Here is a 20,451-nt window from a genome sequence, read left to right as displayed (position 1 = left end):
GAAATAAATTATGTCTATTAAACAAATGCACATACATAAATAATGTGTCTAAATAACAATGTACATAATGAAAATGAATTTTATTGCTAAAAAATGTTAACACACAGATACACACAATGGGATCATATAATGTTGAAAAATAGAGATGGGGAGAGGAACAGAGACAGAGAGAAAGGGAGGAATGGAGCGAGAAAAGGACGGATGGATAGAGGGACATTGGAAAGGAGAAAGTGGGGAGCGGGGAGGGAGGGAGGGAGAGAAGGAGGAGGGAGGGAGGGAAGGACAGAGGGAGAAAGGGAGCAAGAGACAGAGAGGAAAGCAGAGAGGAAAGCAGAGAGGAAAGCGGTCTTCCGCCTCCAGGGCCAGCGGGACCTCGCACTCCGGGAAAACGTGGGGTGCCCGGTGCAGGCCGAGAGCTCGGCCCACAGCCGCGTCTGCTTGCGGGGCGCCCACCAGCTCACCAGCCCTCCGGATCGCCGGCCCGGGTCACTTCATCCCGGAGCAATTCGGACGAATTCCGCCTCCCAAGGAATGAGAGCAATGAGCCGAGACGCGGGTGATTGTCCGTTTTCCATCCACGTGGTTCACAGACGACACGGCCCCGCGTTGAGCAACAGAGCGCGAGGCGGACAGGCCCGTCCACACGGGAGTCACACTCGGGCCGAGTGAACCGTGATTCCGGGTTCCACGCTCCTTCGCCCTCTGCAAGGGGACCTGTTGCTCGCGTGTCTCCCGCCCCCGAAAGCGCGACCACGTTGGCTGTTTCCCGAGCTCTGCGGGGACACAGAAACCTCCAGCGAAGCGTGGAAAAGCAGCATCGTGACTTCGCTCTCCTTTCCGGTTTCCAGACCGGCCACAGTGGAGACTCCCCTTGTTGCAGGAAACAGGAATCCGTGGTCAGGCCGTGATGCACCCGACGTTTCTTTTCTCTGCAGTTTCGCTCTCGTTTTCTACATGAAAACGAACGAGATCCACACCCCTGCGTGTGTGAACTATCACGGCAACGGCGACACCCACAGAGGGCCTGGAAAACTCAAGACCGTCACGGAAGCTCAGTTCCACACTCCACCCTTCGGGGTGGTTTCTGCCTGAAAACTGAGTCAAGACAGCGGCTTCCAGTTTCCATAGAATTACTGGAGAACCTCAGAGAGCCAGCCCCGGAAGCCCCTCTTTCCCCTCCAATCCGGCCCTGCACCCACCCACCCCACAAGGCCCTGGTCCCTGTGGTTTTCGGCTTCGGAGGGCGGGCTACCCCGGGACCTTGGGCCCCGAGCTCATGCATGTTCATAACGCGGTGGAGGTGGTAGGTCTTTCTAAGGGCCTCCTGGCTGCACCTGCCGCAGTGCACAGGCCGGCTGAGGTGCACGGGAGCCCGCCGGCCTCTCTCTGCCCGCGTCCGTCCGTGAAATTCCGGCCGGGGCTCACCGCGATGGCCCTCCCGACACCCTCGGACAGCACCCTCCCCGCGGAAGCCCGGGGACGAGGACGGCGACGGAGACTCGTTTGGACCCCGAGCCAAAGCGAGGCCCTGCGAGCCTGCTTTGAGCGGAACCCGTACCCGGGCATCGCCACCAGAGAACGGCTGGCCCAGGCCATCGGCATTCCGGAGCCCAGGGTCCAGATTTGGTTTCAGAATGAGAGGTCACGCCAGCTGAGGCAGCACCGGCGGGAATCTCGGCCCTGGCCCGGGAGACGCGGCCCGCCAGAAGGCCGGCGAAAGCGGACCGCCGTCACCGGATCCCAGACCGCCCTGCTCCTCCGAGCCTTTGAGAAGGATCGCTTTCCAGGCATCGCCGCCCGGGAGGAGCTGGCCAGAGAGACGGGCCTCCCGGAGTCCAGGATTCAGATCTGGTTTCAGAATCGAAGGGCCAGGCACCCGGGACAGGGTGGCAGGGCGCCCGCGCAGGCAGGCGGCCTGTGCAGCGCGGCCCCTGGCGGGGGTCACCCTGCTCCCTCGTGGGTCGCCTTCGCCCACACCGGCGCGTGGGGAACGGGGCTTCCCGCACCCCACGTGCCCTGCGCGCCTGGGGCTCTCCCACAGGGGGCTTTCGTGAGCCAGGCAGCGAGGGCCGCCCCCGCGCTGCAGCCCAGCCAGGCCGCGCCGGCAGAGGGGGTCTCCCAACCTGCCCCGGCGCGCGGGGATTTCGCCTACGCCGCCCCGGCTCCTCCGGACGGGGCGCTCTCCCACCCTCAGGCTCCTCGGTGGCCTCCGCACCCGGGCAAAAGCCGGGAGGACCGGGACGCGCAGCGCGACGGCCTGCCGGGCCCCTGCGCGGTGGCACAGCCTGGGCCCGCTCAAGCGGGGCCGCAGGGCCAAGGGGTGCTTGCGCCACCCACGTCCCAGGGGAGTCCGTGGTGGGGCTGGGGCCGGGGTCCCCAGGTCGCCGGGGCGGCGTGGGAACCCCAAGCCGGGGCAGCTCCACCTCCCCAGCCCGCGCCCCCGGACGCCTCCGCGGCAAGCACAGATGCCAGCCATCCAGGCGCCTCCCAACCGCTCCAGGAGCCGGGGCGCTCGTCTACAGTCACCTCCAGCCTGTTATATGAGCTCCTGTAGACACCAGAGTTTCAGCAAAAGGCACGACCTTTCCTAGATCCGGCGCCACTGGGGGAGCTGAAGGACGTGGAAGAGCCCGCTCTGCTGGAACCACTCCTCAGCCAGGAAGAACACCGGGCTCTGCTGGAGGAGCAGGTTGGAGCGGGGTTGGGGCGGGGTGGGGGCAGGATGGCGCCCTCTCTTTCGCGGTGAACCTCTGACTCGGTATGGAGAGGCGTGCCTTCCCTTCCAGCTGACCTGTCTAGGATCCCTGAGTTCCAGGTCCGGTGAGAGACTCCACACAGAGGAGGGCTGTCATTCTTTCCTGAGCATCCCGGGGATCCCAGGGCCCGCCCAGGTACCGGGAGGTGGACTGTCTACTGCGCATGCGCAGGTTTGCAGGCAGCAGCCTAGGTTTTCCAACCAGCCCAGGCGGAGCTCTCATTCCTTTTTCCCCAGCGTTCTTCAGTCGAGTTGGCGGAGACCTCAGTCCGCGAAGCGCTGGGCCGGGGCAGAAGCCAGGCCAGTTCTCCTTTCCGTGGCTCGACTCCTCTGCCTCTTCGCTCACCAACACTTGCCAACCCCCGTCCCGCCAGCCTCCTCGCCAGCACCATGGAGCGCCTTGCAACTAAATGTAGACCCGAGACCCCGTGCAAACCAGGGTGCTGCCCTTTCCAGGCAAGAGGCAAGGCAGGCAGAGATGAGGACGGGAACGGAGACAGAGTGGGAGGGAAGGATGGAGCTAGGAAAGGATGGATGGACGGAGGGACCCTGGAAAGGAGAGAAAGAGGGAGGGAGGGAGAAAGGGAGGAAAAAACCAGGGGAGGAAGGGAAGAGCAGACGGAAGGATGGACCGAGGGACAAAAGGAGCAAGAAACAGATAAAGGAAGGCAGACAGAAAAACGGTCTTCTGCCTCCAGAACCAACAGGACCCAGCACTCCGGGAAAATGCTGGGTGCCCAGCGCGGGCTAAGTGCTGGGCCCTCCGGATCGCCAGCCTGAGTTACTTCATCCCGGAGCGATTCAGACGAATTCCGTTTCCGAAGGAATGAGCGAATTCCCCAGAGAGCAATGAGCTGAGACTCAGGTGGTTGTCCGTTTTTCATCCACATGGTTCACAGATGACATATCCCCACGCTGAGCCCTGCAACAGAGCGCGAGGCGGATAGTCCCATCCACACAGGAATCACGCTCAGGCCAACTAAAGCGTGATTCTGGATTCCACGTTTCTTTGCCCTCTGCAGAGGTGCCTGTTGCTCAAGTCTCTGCCCCCGCCCCCCGAAAGTGTGACCATGTTGACTGTTTGTTTCCCGAGCTCTGTGGGGACCCAGAAACTTCCAGGAATGCGTGGAACACCAGCATCGTGTCGGTGCTCTCCTTTCCAGTTTCAAACAGGCTATATTGCAGACCCCCCATTTTGCAGGAAACAGGAATCCATCGTCAGGCCGTGATGCACGGGACGTTTCTTTTCTCTGTGGTTTCGATCTCGTTGTCTACATGAAAATGAACGAGATCCACACACCTGCGTGTGTGAGACTATCAGGGCAACTGTGACACCCACGCGCTGGCAATAGAGTTGGCAGCCTGATCCCAGGACAAAGGTACTGACGGACATCCAGACACACCCCACCACAATCACTAGCAAACCCACTCCCAAACACACAGACACACACGGGCGCACGCGCGGGAACACAAGCACACACACAGACACACAAAGACACAGACAGCTTGAAGAAAAGCAAAGGACAGAGGGATGGAAAGATAGAAACGGAAGGAGAGAGAGAAACAGCGAGAGAGAGAGAGAGAGAGAGAGGGAGGAGAGCGGGCAAGGTGGAGAGGGAAGTAGAGAAAGGGAGCGGGCGAGGGAGCTAGAGAAGGAGAGCAACAGAGCCTTGGAGAAGGAGGCTCTGCTCTGGTAGACAGGGGCCCCTTTGGCCAGGGTAGGGTGGAGCGTGCCTGGGCCGGGCTAGAACAGGGGGGCAGGGCCGCCCACGAGGGAAAACCAAGGGAGCCCTGAGACGTGTTTTCACTTGGATTGGTTGGTGGCTTTGGGGGTGCGTTTCGTAGCGTCATTCCTTTGCTGGCTCCTCCCTGTCCTCTTGGTGCTGTGGGTCCTGAAAGTTGTCGAGTGCGCCCGTCCCTGTGGTGGGAGCAGTGGCCCCGAGCGTGCCCACGGGCCCCGGCTTGGGTTTCTCTCGTGTTTAGAATGGTATGGCCGTAGACAATGGCGGTGGCGCCTGGCTGGTCCAAGAGCCCGGTCCAGCTACGCGCGTCTGATTCCAGGCGTCACCACCAACCCGGGGCCGCGAGGCTGGGATCAGGCACCCCCGGAGCCGCTCGCCCGCGGCCGGGCTGCTCTCCCCCTCTATACGCCCAAGCACCAGTCGCCGCGCTGCGTTTTCCGCCGGCCTCGCAGAGCGTCCCGCTATCGCCGGCGGCCAGACCACGCGCAGGACCGCTGAGGCGCCCGAGGCCTCCATTCCCTGCCAGGGCTCTGGACTCTCCAGGCGGCCTCCCTTTAGCTGACACTCCAGGCCTTCCCCTGGCTCTCCAGCTCCGGAGCTTCCAACACTTGGGGCCTGCTCAGGACGGGGTGTGATCCCAGGTGTCAGGGCCCAGGGCCCACGGTCCTGGGATCCCCTCTGGTCCTCCGCCTTGCCGCGGAAAAATTATTTTGGATTCCTCGCCGCCCCTCCTGCAAGGCCCCCTCTTGCCCCACGCTCCCAGAGAAGCCAGGGCTGCCCGGGGGCGAACAGCCGGCCCAGCCCCGCGGGCCCTTTTTCTCACAACGCCCACACCATTGTCGCTTGTCCCGAGGAAGACCGGCCCGTGGCCAACGGGGCAGGAAGGCCCTGCTTTGTCCCGCGCTGGCACTAGAGCCCCGGCAGCCTGATCCCGGGAAAGAGGGGCTGACGGACACCCAGACACACCCCACCACCACCACGAGCAAACCCACCCCCCCCACACACACACAGATACACACGGGCGCGCGCACACGCACACGGACACGCACGGACACACACACAAAGACACAGACGGCTTGAAGGACAGAAAGGGAGAGAGGGATGGAGAGATAGAAACAAAGGGTGAGACAGAGACAGAGATAGAGACAGAGAGGGTGGGGAGAGACGGAGAGAAGGTGACAGAAGAGCGAGAGGTGGAGGGGAAGAAGAGAAAAAGAGAGGATGAGGGAGCTGGAGAGCGAGAGCCATAGAGCCTTGGAGGAGGCTCTGCTCTGGCAGACAGGGCCCCTTTGAGCAGGCCGGGGTGGGGTGGAGGGTGCTTGGGCTGGGCCAGAACAGGGGGGCAGGGCCGTCCAAGGGAGAGGACTAACTGAGCCCTGAGACGTGTTCACTCTTGGATTGGTTAGTTACTTCAGGGGTGCGTTTGGTAGGGTCCTTCCTTTGTTTGCTCCTTTCTGTCTTCTTGATGCAGTAGGCTCCGAGATTTGTAGAGTGCGCCTGTCCATCTGACCGGAGCCATAACGCCGAGCGTGCTTACAGGGCTCAAGACCTGGGTCTCTCTCGTGTCCCCGAGACTGGATTTTACACGAAGTCGGTGGCAATGAAAATCCAAGTGCACAGGGACGGTTTTCTTGGTGGCTGACGAAGGCAATGTCCTTCCGCGGTGGAAACCAGCCCATGCGTTGTGGAGCGCAGGCGTGCGGAAAAGTGGGAGTAGAGTCAGGGGGCCGTTGGGAAGCACGGCGACAAAAGGGGGAAAGAGGGAGGGAGCGGGGAGCCAAAAGCCTTCAGCACCCTGTATTCCCAGGGGGTCTCGCATCCCAAGTACTAACCAGGCCCGACTCTGCTTAGCTTTCAAGGTCAGTCGAGATCCCGTGCGTTCAGGGTGGTGTGGCCGTAAAGGCCGGCAGTGGCGGCTGCTCGACTCCTGGCGTCACCGCCACCCCTGGGCCGCGGGGCTCAGATCCGGGGCCCCAGAACCGCTCCCCCGCGGCCGGGCTGCTCTCGCCATCAAGGTCCCAGCACCGCCGGCCGCCGCGCTGCGCCTTCCGCCGGCCTCCCAGAGCCACCCCCGTCGCCTGCGGCCAGAGAACGCGCCGTGGCACCGCCCTGCTGCAGCGCGGGAGAGCCAGAGACCTCAGTCCCCTGCCCAGGCTCCAGGCACACCAGGTGGCCTCCCTTTTCGCAGACGCTCCAGGCCTTCCCCGGCTTGGGAGCTCCCAAGCTTCCAACACATCTGGCCGGCTCAGGACGGGGTGTGCTCCGAGGCGTCAGGGCCCAGGGCCAACTGTCCTGGGATCCCCTCCGGTCCTTCGTCTTGCCGCAGAAAAATTGTTTTGGATCCCTCGCCGCCCCTCCTGCAAGGCCCCCTCTTGCCCCACACACCCAGAGCCGTCAGGGCTGTCCAGGGGCAAACAGCCGGCCCAGCCCTGAGGGCCCTTTTTCTCACAACGCCCACACCATTGTCGCTTGTCCCAACGAGGACTCGCCCCGTTGGCCAAGGCCCTGCTTTGCCCCGCGCTGGCACTAGAGCCCCCGCAGCCTGATCCCGGGGGAGAGGGGCTGATGGGCCACCCAGACACACCCCACCACCACGAGCAAACCCACCCCGACACGCACACAGATACACACGGGAGCACGCGCGCGGTCACACACACACGGACACACACGGAGACACACACGGGCACACACACACGGACACACAAAGACACAGACACAGACAAAGATAGCTTGAAGTAAGGGAGGAGACCACCCCTCATATTGTCTTATGCCCAATTTCTGCGTACTGAGACTAACACAGCAACTGTGACACCCATGCGCTGGCGATAGAGTAGGCAGCCTGATCCCGGGACAAAGTTACTGACGGACATCCAGACACACCCCACCACAATCACGAGCAAACCCATTCCCAAACAGACACACATGGGCGCACCGCTTTTAGTAAAAACTAAAAGGCAGAAATGAAATCCATAGGCAGACAGCCCGGTGTCACACCCTGGGCCTGGTAGTTAAAGATATACCCCTGACCTACTCGGTTATGTTGTCTATAGATTACAGACATTGTATCGAAAAGCACTGTGAAAATCCCTGTCCTGTTTTGTTCTGATCTAATTACCGCTGCATGCGGCCCCCAGTCAGTACCCTCTGCTTCCTCAATGGATCACGACCCTCTCACGCAGACCCCCTTAGAGTTGTAAGCCCTTAAGAGGGACAGGAATTACTCAGTCGGGGAGCTCGGTTTTTGGAGACATGAGTCTGCGGATGATCCCAGCTGAATAAAGCCCTTCCTTCTACAACTCGGTGTCTGAGGGGTTTTGTCTGCGGCTCCTCCTGCTACAGAAGGAGAGGAAGGGAGAGAGGAATGGAGAGATAGAACCAGAGGGAGAGAGAGAGACAGCGATAGAGAGAGAGAGAGACAGAGAGTGGGGGAGGAGAGAGAGAGAGAGAGGGAAAGAGAGAGCGCGACAGAAGAGCGCGAGGTGGAAGGGGAAGTAGAGAAAGGGAGAGGCTGAGGGAGTTGCAGAGCGAGAGCGACAGAGCCTTGGAGAGGGAGGCTCTGCTCAGGTAGACAGGCCCCCTTTGAGCAGGCCGGGGTGGGGTGGAGGGTGCTTAGGCCGGGCTAGAACAGGGGGTCAGGGCCCCCCATGCGGGAAAACCAACGGAGCCCTGAGACGTGTTTTTTCTTGGATTGGTTGTTTGCTTTGGGGGTGCGTTTCATAGGGTCCTTCCTTTGTTTGCTTCTTTCTGTCTTCTCGATGCGGTGGCCCCCCAGATTTGTAGATGCGCCCATCCGTCTGGCGAGAGCCCTGGCTCTGAGCCTGTCCACGGGGCCAGGCCTGGGTCTCTCTCGTGTCCTCGGGACTGGAATTTACACGAAGTCGGTGGCAAAGTGCACAGGGACGGATTTCCTCACGGCTGGCGAGGGCAATGTCCTTCCCCCGGGTAAAGCAGCCCACGGGTTCCGGAGCGGAGGTCTCGGCTGGCGTCTGTGGGACCCGCTGCCCCTGCCCGCCCCTTCCCCCGGTTTGGACCGTCGCAGCGGCGCTGGATGAATGAATTGCCTGGGCTTCCGGGGAGCGTGAAAGACACCCGGGACCTCAGGGAACCCGCGCCTGCGCCCTCGGGGTCGGTCCAGTCCGCCTGGGTTGGAGCCCGGCTCCTGGTGGGGCTGCGGCGAGTCGGAAAAGGTGGGATGCTGCTGCCTGGCGGTGCTGCAGTGGCGGATCTTCAGGGGGAGGTCCTGGGCTTCGGCTGGGGCGCAGGGGCGGACAGGGTGGAGGGAGGGGGCGGTTGGGAAGCACGGAGACAAAACGGGGAAAGAGGGAGGGAGCGGGAAGCCAAAAGCCTACGGTACCCGCTATTCCCAGGCGGAATCCATCCAAGTACTAACCAGGCCGGACCCTGCTTAGCTTCACGAGCTCAGAGGAGCTGGGGCGCGCTCAGGGTGGTGTGGCCTAGACACCGGCAGCGGCGCCTGCCCGCCCCGACAGCCCGGCCCAGCCACGTCCGCCCGGCTCCAGGCGTCACCGCCACCCCGGGGCAGCGGGGCTCGGATCCGGGACCCCCAGAGCCGCTCGTCCGTGCCCCCGGGCAGCTGTCTCCCTCTACGCCCGAGCACCGCCGGCCTCCCAGAGCGTCCCGCCGTCGCCGGCGGCCAGGCCTCGCGCAGGACCAATGTGGCGCCGCCCTGCTGTTGCTGGGGGGCGTCCTAGGCCTCCGTGCCCTGCCCAGGCTTCCGGCTCTCGGGGCGGCCTCCCTTCCGCCCACGCTCCAGGGCGTCCCCGGCTCCCGAGCTCCGAGCTCCACCACATCGGCCGGCTCAGGACGGGTGTGCTCATCCCTTCACTTTTTAACTTTTTGTTGTTTCTATTTATATTTTATTGTGCTATGTCTGGAAATGTTGTAGCTATTACTTTTGATTGGATATTATTTAGTATTCCTACTTTGAATAAGAGTAGTTTGCACATCCCACAGCTACAGCGTTATAATATTCTGTTTTGTTTTGTATCCTATTAGCACTGAGGATTTTTTTTACCTTTAGGTGATCATTTATTGCTCATTAATGTCCTTTTCTTCCTGATTGAAGTACTCTCTTTAGCATTCCTTTAGGACAGACATGGTATTCATAAAATACTTCAGCTTTTGTCTGGAAAAGTCAGTATTTCTTCTTTTTATTTGAAGAATATTTTCACTGTATATGCTATTCTAAGGTAAAAGGTTTTTTTTCCTTTAGTACTTTAAATATTTATTGCTTCTCTCTCCTGGCCGGTAGGGTTTCCACCGTAAAGTCTGCTGCCAGAGGTGTTGGAGCTCACTGTTATGTTCTTTGTTTCTCTTCTCTTTCTTCCTTTAGAACTTTTCTTTATCTTTGACTTTTGGAAGATCTATTGAATGCTTTGAAGTAGTCTTTTTTTGGGTTAAATCTGCTTAATGTCCTATAACATTTTTGTAGTTGGATATGGATATCTTTCTCTAGGTTTGGAAAGTTTTCTGTTATTATCCCTTTGAATAAATTTTTCTACCCCTGCCTCTTTCTCTACATCTTCTTTAAAACCAATAACTCTTAGATCTGTCTTTGTGAGGCTATTTTTCTAGATCCTGTAGGCATGATTTGTTGTTTTTATTCTTTTTCTTTTGTCTCTTCTGACTACGTATTTTCAAATAGCCTGTCTTCAAGCTCACTATTTCTTCTGCTTGATCCATTCTGCTATTAAATGGCTCTAATGCATTCTTCAGCATGCCAATTGCATTTTTCAGCTCCAGAATTTCTGCTTAATTTGTTGTAAATTTTTCAATCTCTTTGTTGAGTTTAGCTGACAAAATTTGGAATTTCTTTATTTTGTTATCTTAAATTTCTTTCAGTTTTTTTTTAATACAGCTATGTTGAATTCTCTGTCTGAAAGGTCACATATCTCTTTTTCTCCAGGATTTGTCCCCGGTGCCTTATTTAGTTCACTTGGTGAGGTCATGTTTTCCTGGATGGTGTTGATGCTAGTAGATGTTATTCAGTGTCTGGACATTAAATTCTTGGGCATGCAGCACCATATGAGAGGTTTAAAAAATAAAATTAAAAAAGAGAAAAGGTGAGTATTTATTGTAGTCTTCACTGTCTGGGCTTATTTGTAGCTGTCTTTCTTGGGAAGACTTTTCACATATTTTAAAAGACTTGGGTGTTGTGATCTAAGCCATATCTGCTTTATGGGTACCTTGTACCCAATAATGCTGTAATTCTTCCAGACTCAGAGAAGTACCACCTTGACAGCCTTCAACAAGATCCAGGAGAATTTTCTAGATTACTAGCCAGAGACTCTTGTTCTCTACCATTATTTTCTCTCAAAGATACAGAGTCTTTCTCTCTGTTCTAAGCCACCTAAAGCTGGGAGAAGAAAGACACAAGCACCCCTGGCCACCACCACTATGACTGCCCTGGATCAGACCTGAAGCTAGCACAGCACTGGGTCTTGCTCAAGTCCTGCTGCATGCACTTTCTGATGACTGCCTATGTTCACTCAAGGCCTTTGGTCTCTACAATTAGCAGGTGGCAAAGCCAGCCAGGCCTGTGTTCTTTCCTTTAGGGCAGTGAGTGCCCTCAGTCCCTGGCTGGGTCGAGAAGTGCCATTCAGAAGTCAGGGAGTAGAGTCAAAAGTTTTAGAAGTCCACCTGACATTCTATTGCATTGCAGCTGACCTGACACTCAAACCACAAGACATAGTCCTTCCCATTCCTCCCTTCCTTTCCTAAAGGCAGAGTAGCCACCACCACCTCAGGCCACAATGAGTACTGCCAGGCTACCACCAATGTTCCCTTAAGGCCCAAAACCTCTTGTCAACTTGCGATGAATGCTGCCTGGCCTGGGACTTGCCGTTTTCAGGGCAATGGGCTCCCTACTGGCCCTGGGCAGCTTCATAAATGCCAGCCAAGAATCAAATCCTAGAATCAGGGATTATGAAATTTTGCTTGGTGCTCTACCCACCTCTGGCCTTGCTGGTACCTAAGGGGCAAGACAAAGTCCCCTTTAATTTTCCCTCTACTTTTCCCAAGAAGAAGGAGTTTTGCCTTTTAGCTACCACAGCTGGTAATGTGCTGAGTTCACCTAAATCTAGCAAGTCTATGAGGGTCATCCAAGGCCCTTGATGTAGTACTGGGTATGGCTGCTGGTTATTCAGAGCCCAAAGGTTTTCAAGTTTGCAGGCGATAAATCCTGCCAGCACATGGTTCTTTTCTTCAAGGCAGCAGGTTTCCTTCTGGCCCAGGATGTGTCTAGGAATGTCTAGGAGCCAGAGACTGGAAAGGAGGCCTCAGGATTCTGACCAGTGCACTATCTTGCTGTGACTGAGCTGGTGTCCAGGATGAAAGACAAAGTACTCCCTACTCTTTTCCCTCCTCTCCTCAAGCAGAAGGATGGTGTCCCTTTTGGAGCCATGAGCTGTGCAGTCTGGTGTTAAGGGAGTGATAATGCCAGAACTCCTTTGGCTGCCCCAGCTGGTGTCTCAGTGTGTTGCATGCCCTCCCCACCCCAGTCCACTGTCCCTGGGCCCGGTTCAGCCCTAGGCCTCACCTAAGAGTTGCAGTCCTGATGGCCTAGGCTGCCTTTCAAGTTTTCTTAGACACACAGTGCGGGAGCCCTTAGTTGCCAGGTTTCCAAACACTGAAGTTCCAACCACTGGAATCTGATTCCCCTCTAGCTAGGGCTGGTTTAATTGATCCCTCTGTGGATGGGCATTAACTGCATTTGGTCTGGTTTTCCTTTCTGCTCTAACAGGACAGCACTGAGTGCAGTGCGTCACAATTGCTGTGTTCTCCCTCCTGCAGAACCCAGAGTTGTTGTCTGCACCATGCCATCACTGCTGGGGATAAGGAAATGGTGATTTCAGGACTGTTTTTTCTGTCTCTTCAGTGCCTCTTTCAGTGATCTGAGGTTAAAACCAGATACTTTGAGTACTCACCTGATTTTTGGTTCTTATGAATGTATTTTCTATGTGGATATTAATAGTTATTCATCTGGTGTCCTTGCAGGAGGGACAATCAGTGGAGCCTTCTTTCTGCCGTCTTGCTTTACTCTCACACCCAAGAATCAGAATGCAGAACTTTTAATAAGAAAAGCTTTCAGAACTCAGGAAGGACAAGGAAGACATTCTGGTTCTCCATGCTTAACATTGGACTGTTTCTTCAACTTAGGTGCATAGCACTGACTAAGCAGGGATTATCATAGATAATTTGACTTGGACTATGCAGTTCATTCAAATTCTTTATCTAGACAATTTAAGTACTAGCTGATTTGGCATGAAAATCTGGCAAAGTATTTTCTTGGTATTCAATTGATTTTTATTCTGCTTGGGTTAGCAATTTTATTAACCAGTCAGTCTCTTCATTAAAGTTCTGGAAATTCTTACCCAGTTCAAATAATATAATTCTAAAGTTCTCAAAAACCTATATTCAAGAGTACTTCTCAGGGCCTTCTCCATCCTTTCATGAACCTCCTTAAAGAAACAATATTCCAGGATTTTGCAAGCTTGTAAAGTTTTCAGAAACTGCCTCAGAATTAAGCAATTTACAGTGGAAATGACTTTAAACTATCATAGTTAGACATAATTGGCAAGATAATTTTATTATTTACAGGCGTGAGCCACCATGCCCAGCCTCTAAAGTTAATTTAATAAAACTTTATAAATAAATTTATCAAATGTTGTCATCTTTTAATCCCAGATTTTTGTGAACGTATGCTTTGCATTTTCCCCCAACTTTCTATATTTATCTAGTTTTATCTAGTTTTTTTTTACTTCTTCAATTTGAAATCTTTAAGTAACTTCAAACCAAAAAAAAATTAAAACACATTTTTATGTCTTTATAAGTTTTATCATCAAAAGCGTATGTTCACAAGCCTGTAATCCCAGCACTTTGGGAGGCCGAGGCAGGTGCATCACTTGAGGTCAGGGGTTCGAGATCAGCCTGGCCAACATGGTGAAACTCCATCTCTACTAAAAATACAAAAATTAGCCGGGTGTGGTTGCGAGCACCTGTAATCCCAGCTAGTTGGGAGGCTGAGGCAGGTGAATCACTCGAACCGGGGAGGCAGAGGTTGCAGTGAGCTGAGATCATGCCACTGCATGCCAGCCTGGGCAACAGAGCAAGACTCGTTCTCAAAAAAAGAAAAAAAAAGCGTATCTTGCTTTTTATACACTCTGTATGCAGAATTGTTTCTCTCATATCTAGTAATTAAGTCTTAGGAGCCCCAATTTTCAGTGAAAACCCTAAAAAGTGATTTTCAACTGTCTTGTATCAGTATTTTTAGATAAAAACCATTTTATAACTTTTAAGAAATATAATTCTTCAAATTACTGTTTATTAACAGAACTAAAGATATTTAGGTTTTGTATACCATATACAAGTAACGTGTCATGGTATATAGACCTAAACTAATTTTTAATGGTTAGTATTTCAATATTTTAGCTTACAAATGACTCAAGATATTTTATGGTTATGTATTACTTAATTTAATGTGATTTTAAGATTTTAAATTAATGAACAGAATTTTGAAACTATGACACAGGTGGCATCCGTAATGTCTTCCCTCAGTAATCCTCGGTTCCAAGTAGCCACATGGCACCCAGGAGAACTATGAAGATCAGGGCCTGCCTGAGTCCATTAGGACTAAAGACAGAACTGTGAAGGCTATAACTGGAGGATCCACCCCCGCCTAAAATAGCCAGGAGGCAAAACAGGGAAAGCATAGAAAGAAGGGGCCGATTGGGCTTGATTCTGGCTTGTAGCTGCTGGTCTAGGCACTGAGAATGTGTCTCCATACTTCTTCATGTTCACCTATCAAGACCCATGAATCAAGAAACTCTCAACAAAAGATGTAAGCTCACAGTTAAATCAAGCAAGTATCTAATTATTTTTAATGGATAATTGTAAAGCCATTTCTATTTAACGATTTAAGAATGAGCTTTATTTACAAAATATTATTACATACATGTAACACATATAGACATACAAACACACAGGAGCAGATCTTACAGCTTTCATAAAGGATTTAAAAAATGTTTTATTTTAGGTTTGGGGGTACATGTGAAGGTTTGTTACATAGATAAACTCATAACACAGGGGCTTGTTATACAGATTATTTCATAACACAAGTATTAAGCCCAGTACCCCACAGTTATCTTTTCTGTTCCTCTCCCTTCTCCCACCTTCCCCGCTCAGGTAGACCCCCAGTGTCTGTTGTCTGTTGTTCCCTTGTGTTCATAAGTTCTCATTATTTAGCTCCCATTTACAAGTGAGAACACGTAGCTGCATAGTATTCCATGGTGCATATGTGTGTTCTGTGTGGGAAACGTGTGAGGAAAGAAAAGAAACACACAATACTTTTAAAGGTAAACAGACTTTACCCCGAGTATATGGCAATATAGATATAATAAGCAAATGATACAACAAACAAATTTTAATGGGAAGGGGAGAAGGGAAAAAGTATATACATACATTTATATACATTTACACTCACCAGACTGTGGAGGATTCATCACCAGACTGGGAAACAACAGCCTGGGATTCAGAATTGGCCACTAGTCCGTGCACAGATGAGGAGAGGTCCCAGGAAGCTTCGGTGCGATCTGGAAACCGAGCTCTTTTTGTAACAAGTTGTTTGTCATGAGGCCCAGTCATGAGGGCCCTTCGCAACTGAGCTCAAGGAACACAAAAAGGTCAATTTGTTTTTGCAATTGCCTGTTGTTTTTCAATAACTGTTTTTCAATAACTGTTGTTTTTCAATAACTGTTTCTCCGAAGCAGCACTGGATGGATGCCTCAAGGGGCTCACACAACTCATTCCAGGACTTAGTGACCATTGTTTGTGTCCATGTTCAATTGAGTTCAAATTTAATATTTAACTTTTCCTCCACAGTGTGCCATATTATCTGCATCCAATCTGTCATCGTTGGGCATTTAGGTTGATTCCATGTCTTTACTATTGTGAATAGTGCTGCAACAAACATTTACGTGCTTGTGTCCTTATGACAGAACAATTTATATACCTCTGGGTATATACCCAGTAGTGAGATTGCTGGGTCAAGTGATAGTTCTGCTTTTATCTCTTTCGAGGAAAGCACTGTTGTGCTTTCCACAATGGTGGGACCAATGTACACTCCCACCAACAGTGTATGTGTTCTCTTTCTCCACAACCTTGCCAGCATCTGTTATTTTTTGACTTTTTCATAGTAGCCATCCTGACTGGTGTGAGATGGTGTCTCACTGTGCCTTTGATTTGCATTTCTCTAATGATCAGTGATATTGAGCTTTGTATTCTATGGTTGTTGGTCACATGTATATATTCTTTTGAAAAGCGTTCATGTCCTTTGCCCACTTTTTAAACATTTTTTTATTTCCATAGGTTTTAGGACAACAGGGGGCATTTGGTTACATTGGTAAGTTATTGATTGATTTGTAAGATTTTGGTGCATCCATCACCTCATCTGTATACACTGAACCCAATCTGTAGCCTTTTATCCCTCACCACCTTCTCCCCTTTCTCCCTGAGTCCCCAAAGTCCATTGTGTCATTCTTATGCTTTTGCATCCTTATAGCTTAGCTCCCAATTATAAGTGAGAATATATGATGTTTGGTTTTCCATTCCTGAGTTACTTCACTTAGAATAATAGTCTTCAATCCCATCCAGGTTGCTGCAACTGCCATTAATTCATTCCTTTTTGTGGCTGAGTGGTATTCCATCGTACGTATGTACCACAGTTTCTTCATCCACTCGTTGATTGATGGGCACTTGGATTGGTTCTACATTTTTGCAATTGCAAATTGTGCTGCCATAAATATGTGTGTGCAAGTATCTTTTTTCTTATAATGACTTTTTTTTCCTCTGGGTACATAGCCAGTAGTGGGATTGGTGGATCAAATGGTACTTCTACTTTTAGTTCTTTAAGGAATCGCCACACTATTGTCCATAGTGATTGTACTAGCTTGCATTCCCACCAGCAGTGCAGAAGCGTTCCCTTTTCACCACATTCACACCAACATCTACTATTTTTTTATTATGACCATTCTTGTGGGAGTAGGGTGGCATTGCATTGTGGTTGTAATTTGCATTTCCCTGATCATTAGTTATGTTGAGCATTTTTTCATATGTTTGTTGGCCATTTGTATATCTTCTGAGAATTGTCTATGACCGTAGTGCCAAAAGCAATCTACAAATTCAATGCAATTGCCATCAAAATACCATCATCATTCTTCACAGAACTAGAAAAAACAATCCTAAAATTCATATGGAACCAAAAAGGAGCCCGCATAGCCAAAGCAATATTAAACAAACAGAACAAATCAGAAGGCATCACATTACCTGATTTCAAACTATATCATAAGACCATAGTCACCAAAACAGCATGGTTCTTGTATAAAAACAGGCACATAGACAAATAGAACATAATGAAGAACCCAGAAATTAACCCAAATATTTACAGCCAACTGATCTTTGACAAAGCAAACAAAAACAAAGTGGGGAAAGAACACCCTACCCAACAAATGGTACTGGGATAATTGGCAAGCCACAAGTAGGAGAATGAAATTGGATCTTTATCTCTCACCTTATACAAAAATCAACTCAAGATGGATCAAGAACTTAAATCTAGGACCTGAAAGTATAAAAATTCTAGATGATGACATCAAAAAAACCCTTCTAGACATTGGCTTAGGCAAAGATTTCATGACCAAGAACCCAAAAGCAAATGCAAGAAAAACAAAGATAAATAGGTGGGATTTAATTAAACTAAAGAGCTTTTTCACGGCAAAAGGAACAGTCAGCAGAGTAAACAGACAATCCACAGAATGGGAGAAAATCTTCACAATCTGTATATCTGACAAAGAACTAATATCCAGAATATACAATGAGCTCAAACAAATTAGCAAGAAAAAAAACAAACAATCCCATCAAAAAGTAGGCTAAGGACATGAATAGACAATTCTTTGGACACTTTTTAATAGGGTTGTTTGTTTTTCTCTTGTAAATTTAAGTTCCTTATATTGAATATTAGATCCTTGTCAGAGACATAGTTTGTAAATACTTTTTCTCATTTTATAGGTTGTCTGTTCACTCTATTGATAATTTCTTTTGCTGAGCAGAAGCTTTTAAGTTTAATTAGATCCCACTTGTCAATAGTTGCATTTGTTGTAATTGTTTTTGGTGTCTTTATCATGAAATCTTTGCCTGTTTCTATGTCCAGGATGGTATTGCCTAGGTTGTCTTCCAGGGCTTTTATAGTTTTGGGTTTTACATTTAAGTATTTAATCCATCTTGGGTTGATTTTTGTGTGTGGTATAAGGAAGAAGACCAACTTCAATCTTCTGCATATGGCTAGCAAGTTATTCCAGCACCATTTATTGAATAGGAAATCTTTTCCCCATTGCTTGTTTTTGCCAGCTTTGTCAAAGATTAGATAATTGTAGGTCTGTGGTCTTATTTCTGGGCTCTCTATTCTGTTCCATTGGTGTATGTGTCTGTTTTTATACCAGTACCATGCTGTTTTGGTTACTGTAGTGCTGTAGTATAGTTTGAAGTCAAGTAATGTGATGCCTCAAGCTTTGCAGATTGCCTTGGCTACTTAGGTTCTTTCTTGGTTCTATGCGAATTTTTAAATAGCTTTTTCTACTTCCGTGAAGCCTGTCATTGGTAGTTTAATATAGCTTTGGGCAGTACAACCATTTAAATGATATTACTTCTTTCTCTCCATTAACATGGAATGATTTTTCATTTGTTTGTGTTTTTTCTGACTTCTTTGAGCAGTGTTTTGTAATTTTCATTATAGAGATTTTTCACCACCCTGGTTAGCTGTATTCCTATGTATTTTATTCTTTTTGTGGAAATTGTGAATAAAATTGCCTCTCTGATTTGGCTCTTAGTTTGGCTCTTCTTGGTGTGTAGGAATGTTAGCAAATTTTGTACATTGATTTTGTATCCTGAAACTGTGTGGAAGTTGTATCAGCTTAAGGAGCTTTTGGGTCACAACTATAGGGTTCAGATAGAGAATTATGTTGTCTGCAAACAGAGGTAGTTGGACTTCTCTTTCTATTTAAATACACTTTATTTCTTTCTCTTGTCTGATTGCTCCAGCAAGGACTTCTAATACTGTGTTGAATAGGAGTGGTGAGAGAGGGCATCTTTGTCTTGTGCCAGTTTTCAAGGAGAATGCTTCCAGACTTTGCCCATTTAGTATAATGCTGGCTGTGAGTTTGTCATAGGTGGCCTTTATTATTTTGAGGTATGTTCCTTCAATATCTCATTTATTGAGACTTTTTAACATGAAGCATTGCTGAATTTTACTGAAGGCTTTTCTGCGTCTATTGAGACAATTACGTGGTTCTTGTCTTTAGTTTTATTTATGTTATAAATCACATTTTATTGATTTGCCCATGATGGACCAACCTTCCATTCCAGGGAAGAATCCTACTTCACTGTGGTGAATTAGACTTTTGATGTGTTGCTGGATTCGGTTTGCAAGGATTTTGTTGTGGATTATTGAATGGATGTTCATCAAGGATACTGGCCTGAAGCTTTCTTTTTTTGTTGTGTCACTGCCAGGCTTTGGTATCAGGATGATGCTGGCCTTGTAGAACAAGTTGGGGAAGAGTCCCTCCTCCTCTATTTCTTGAAATAGTTTTAGTAGGAATGGTACTGGCTCTTCTTCGTATATCTGTTAAAATTTTACTATTAATCTATCAAGTCCTGGGCTTTTTTTTTTTTTTTTTTTTTTTTTTTTTTTTTTTTTTTTTTTTTTGCTTGGTAGGCTATTTACTACTGATTGAATTTTTGGAGCTCATTATTGGTCTGTTCAGGGACTCAGTTTCTTCCTGGTTCAGCCTTGAGATGGTGTATGTGGCCAGGAATTTATCCATCTTTTCTAGGGTTTCTAGTTTGTGTGTGTAGATGTGTTCATAGTAGTTGCTGGTTGTTATTTTTATTTCTCTGGGGTCAGTGGTAACATTCCCTTCATCATTTCTAATTTTGTTTATTTGAATCTTCTCTCTTTTCTTCTTTATTCATCTAGCTAGTACCCTATCTATCTTACTAATTTTTTCAAAAAACTTTGATTAAGTGATTTTTTGAATAGTTTTTCATGTCTCTATTTCTTTCAGTTCTGCTCTGATTTTAGTTATTTCTTGTCTTCTATAAACTTTGTGGTTGAATTCTTCTTGCTTCTCTAATTCTTTCAGTTGTGATGTTAGGTTGTTAATTTGAGATCTTTCTAACTTTTTGATGTGGGCATTACTTCTTATGCCCTACCCTAACTTTTCTCCTTCTCCTAGAAAACTCAGAACTATGCTTTCTAAACCAATTCAAACTTTCTCAGTGAATCAACCTGGTCTCCCTGAGGCAAAGTTAGCAATTTTCCATTACGCGTGGTCCTCTTTCTCTCTAAGAATATCTAACGCGACAATGCAAGTGTTTCATCCCTCCTGGGTATGCGAGGAATTCCTTTTGGCTGAGACCAAGACTTAAAACCTCAACATTAATGAAGATCTATTTAGAAAGCCTCCATTTTTTTATAGCAGCATGATTTATAATCCTTTGGATATATACCCAGTAATGGGATGGCTGGGTCAAATGCTATTTCTAGTTCTAGATCCTTGAGGAATAGCCACACTGTCTTCCACAGTGGTTGAACTAGTTTACAGTCCCACCAACAATGTAAAAGTGTTCCTATTTCTCCACATCCTCTCCAGCACCTGTTGTTTCCTGACTTTTTAATGATCACCATTCTAACTGGTGTGAGATGGTATCTCATTGTGGTTTTGATTTGCATTTCTCTGATGGTCAGTGATGATGAGCATTTTTTCATGTGTCTGTTGGCTGCATAAATGTCTTCTTTTGAGAAGTGTCTGTTCATATCCTTCACCCACTGGGGTTGTTTGTTTTTTTCTTGTAAATTTGTTTGAGTTCTTTGCAGAAATAGCTATA

The 20,451-nt window shown here is 49.3% G+C and overlaps 3 pseudogenes, besides 2 other annotated features; 1 reads left to right on the top strand and 2 right to left on the bottom strand.

The window, feature by feature from the left end:
* DUX4L9 (double homeobox 4 like 9 (pseudogene)) lies at positions 1,430 to 2,926 on the top strand (annotated as a pseudogene).
* Positions 2,005 to 2,659: an enhancer, noted in NCBI's record as "H3K27ac-H3K4me1 hESC enhancer chr4:190942591-190943245 (GRCh37/hg19 assembly coordinates)". NCBI's record gives its function as "activates a minimal SCP1, AML or CMV promoter by ChIP-STARR-seq in naive and primed H9 embryonic stem cells {active_cell/tissue: H9 hESC(naive and primed)}" and the evidence as "EXISTENCE:reporter gene assay evidence [ECO:0000049][PMID:30033119]".
* RNA5SP175 (RNA, 5S ribosomal pseudogene 175) lies at positions 6,281 to 6,399 on the bottom strand (annotated as a pseudogene).
* Positions 7,311 to 7,508: a silencer, noted in NCBI's record as "fragment chr4:190937742-190937939 (GRCh37/hg19 assembly coordinates)". NCBI's record gives its function as "represses an EF-1alpha promoter that drives an FKBP-Casp9 reporter gene in an ReSE screen in HepG2 liver carcinoma cells {active_cell/tissue: HepG2}" and the evidence as "EXISTENCE:reporter gene assay evidence [ECO:0000049][PMID:32094911]".
* RNA5SP174 (RNA, 5S ribosomal pseudogene 174) lies at positions 8,840 to 8,957 on the bottom strand (annotated as a pseudogene).

The sequence above is a fragment of the Homo sapiens genome, chromosome 4 (genome assembly GCF_000001405.40).
Source record: "Homo sapiens chromosome 4, GRCh38.p14 Primary Assembly".
Taxonomy (NCBI): domain Eukaryota; kingdom Metazoa; phylum Chordata; class Mammalia; order Primates; family Hominidae; genus Homo; species Homo sapiens.
Note: the sequence above shows the minus strand (reverse complement) of the source record. Positions and strands in the feature narration are given on the sequence as shown.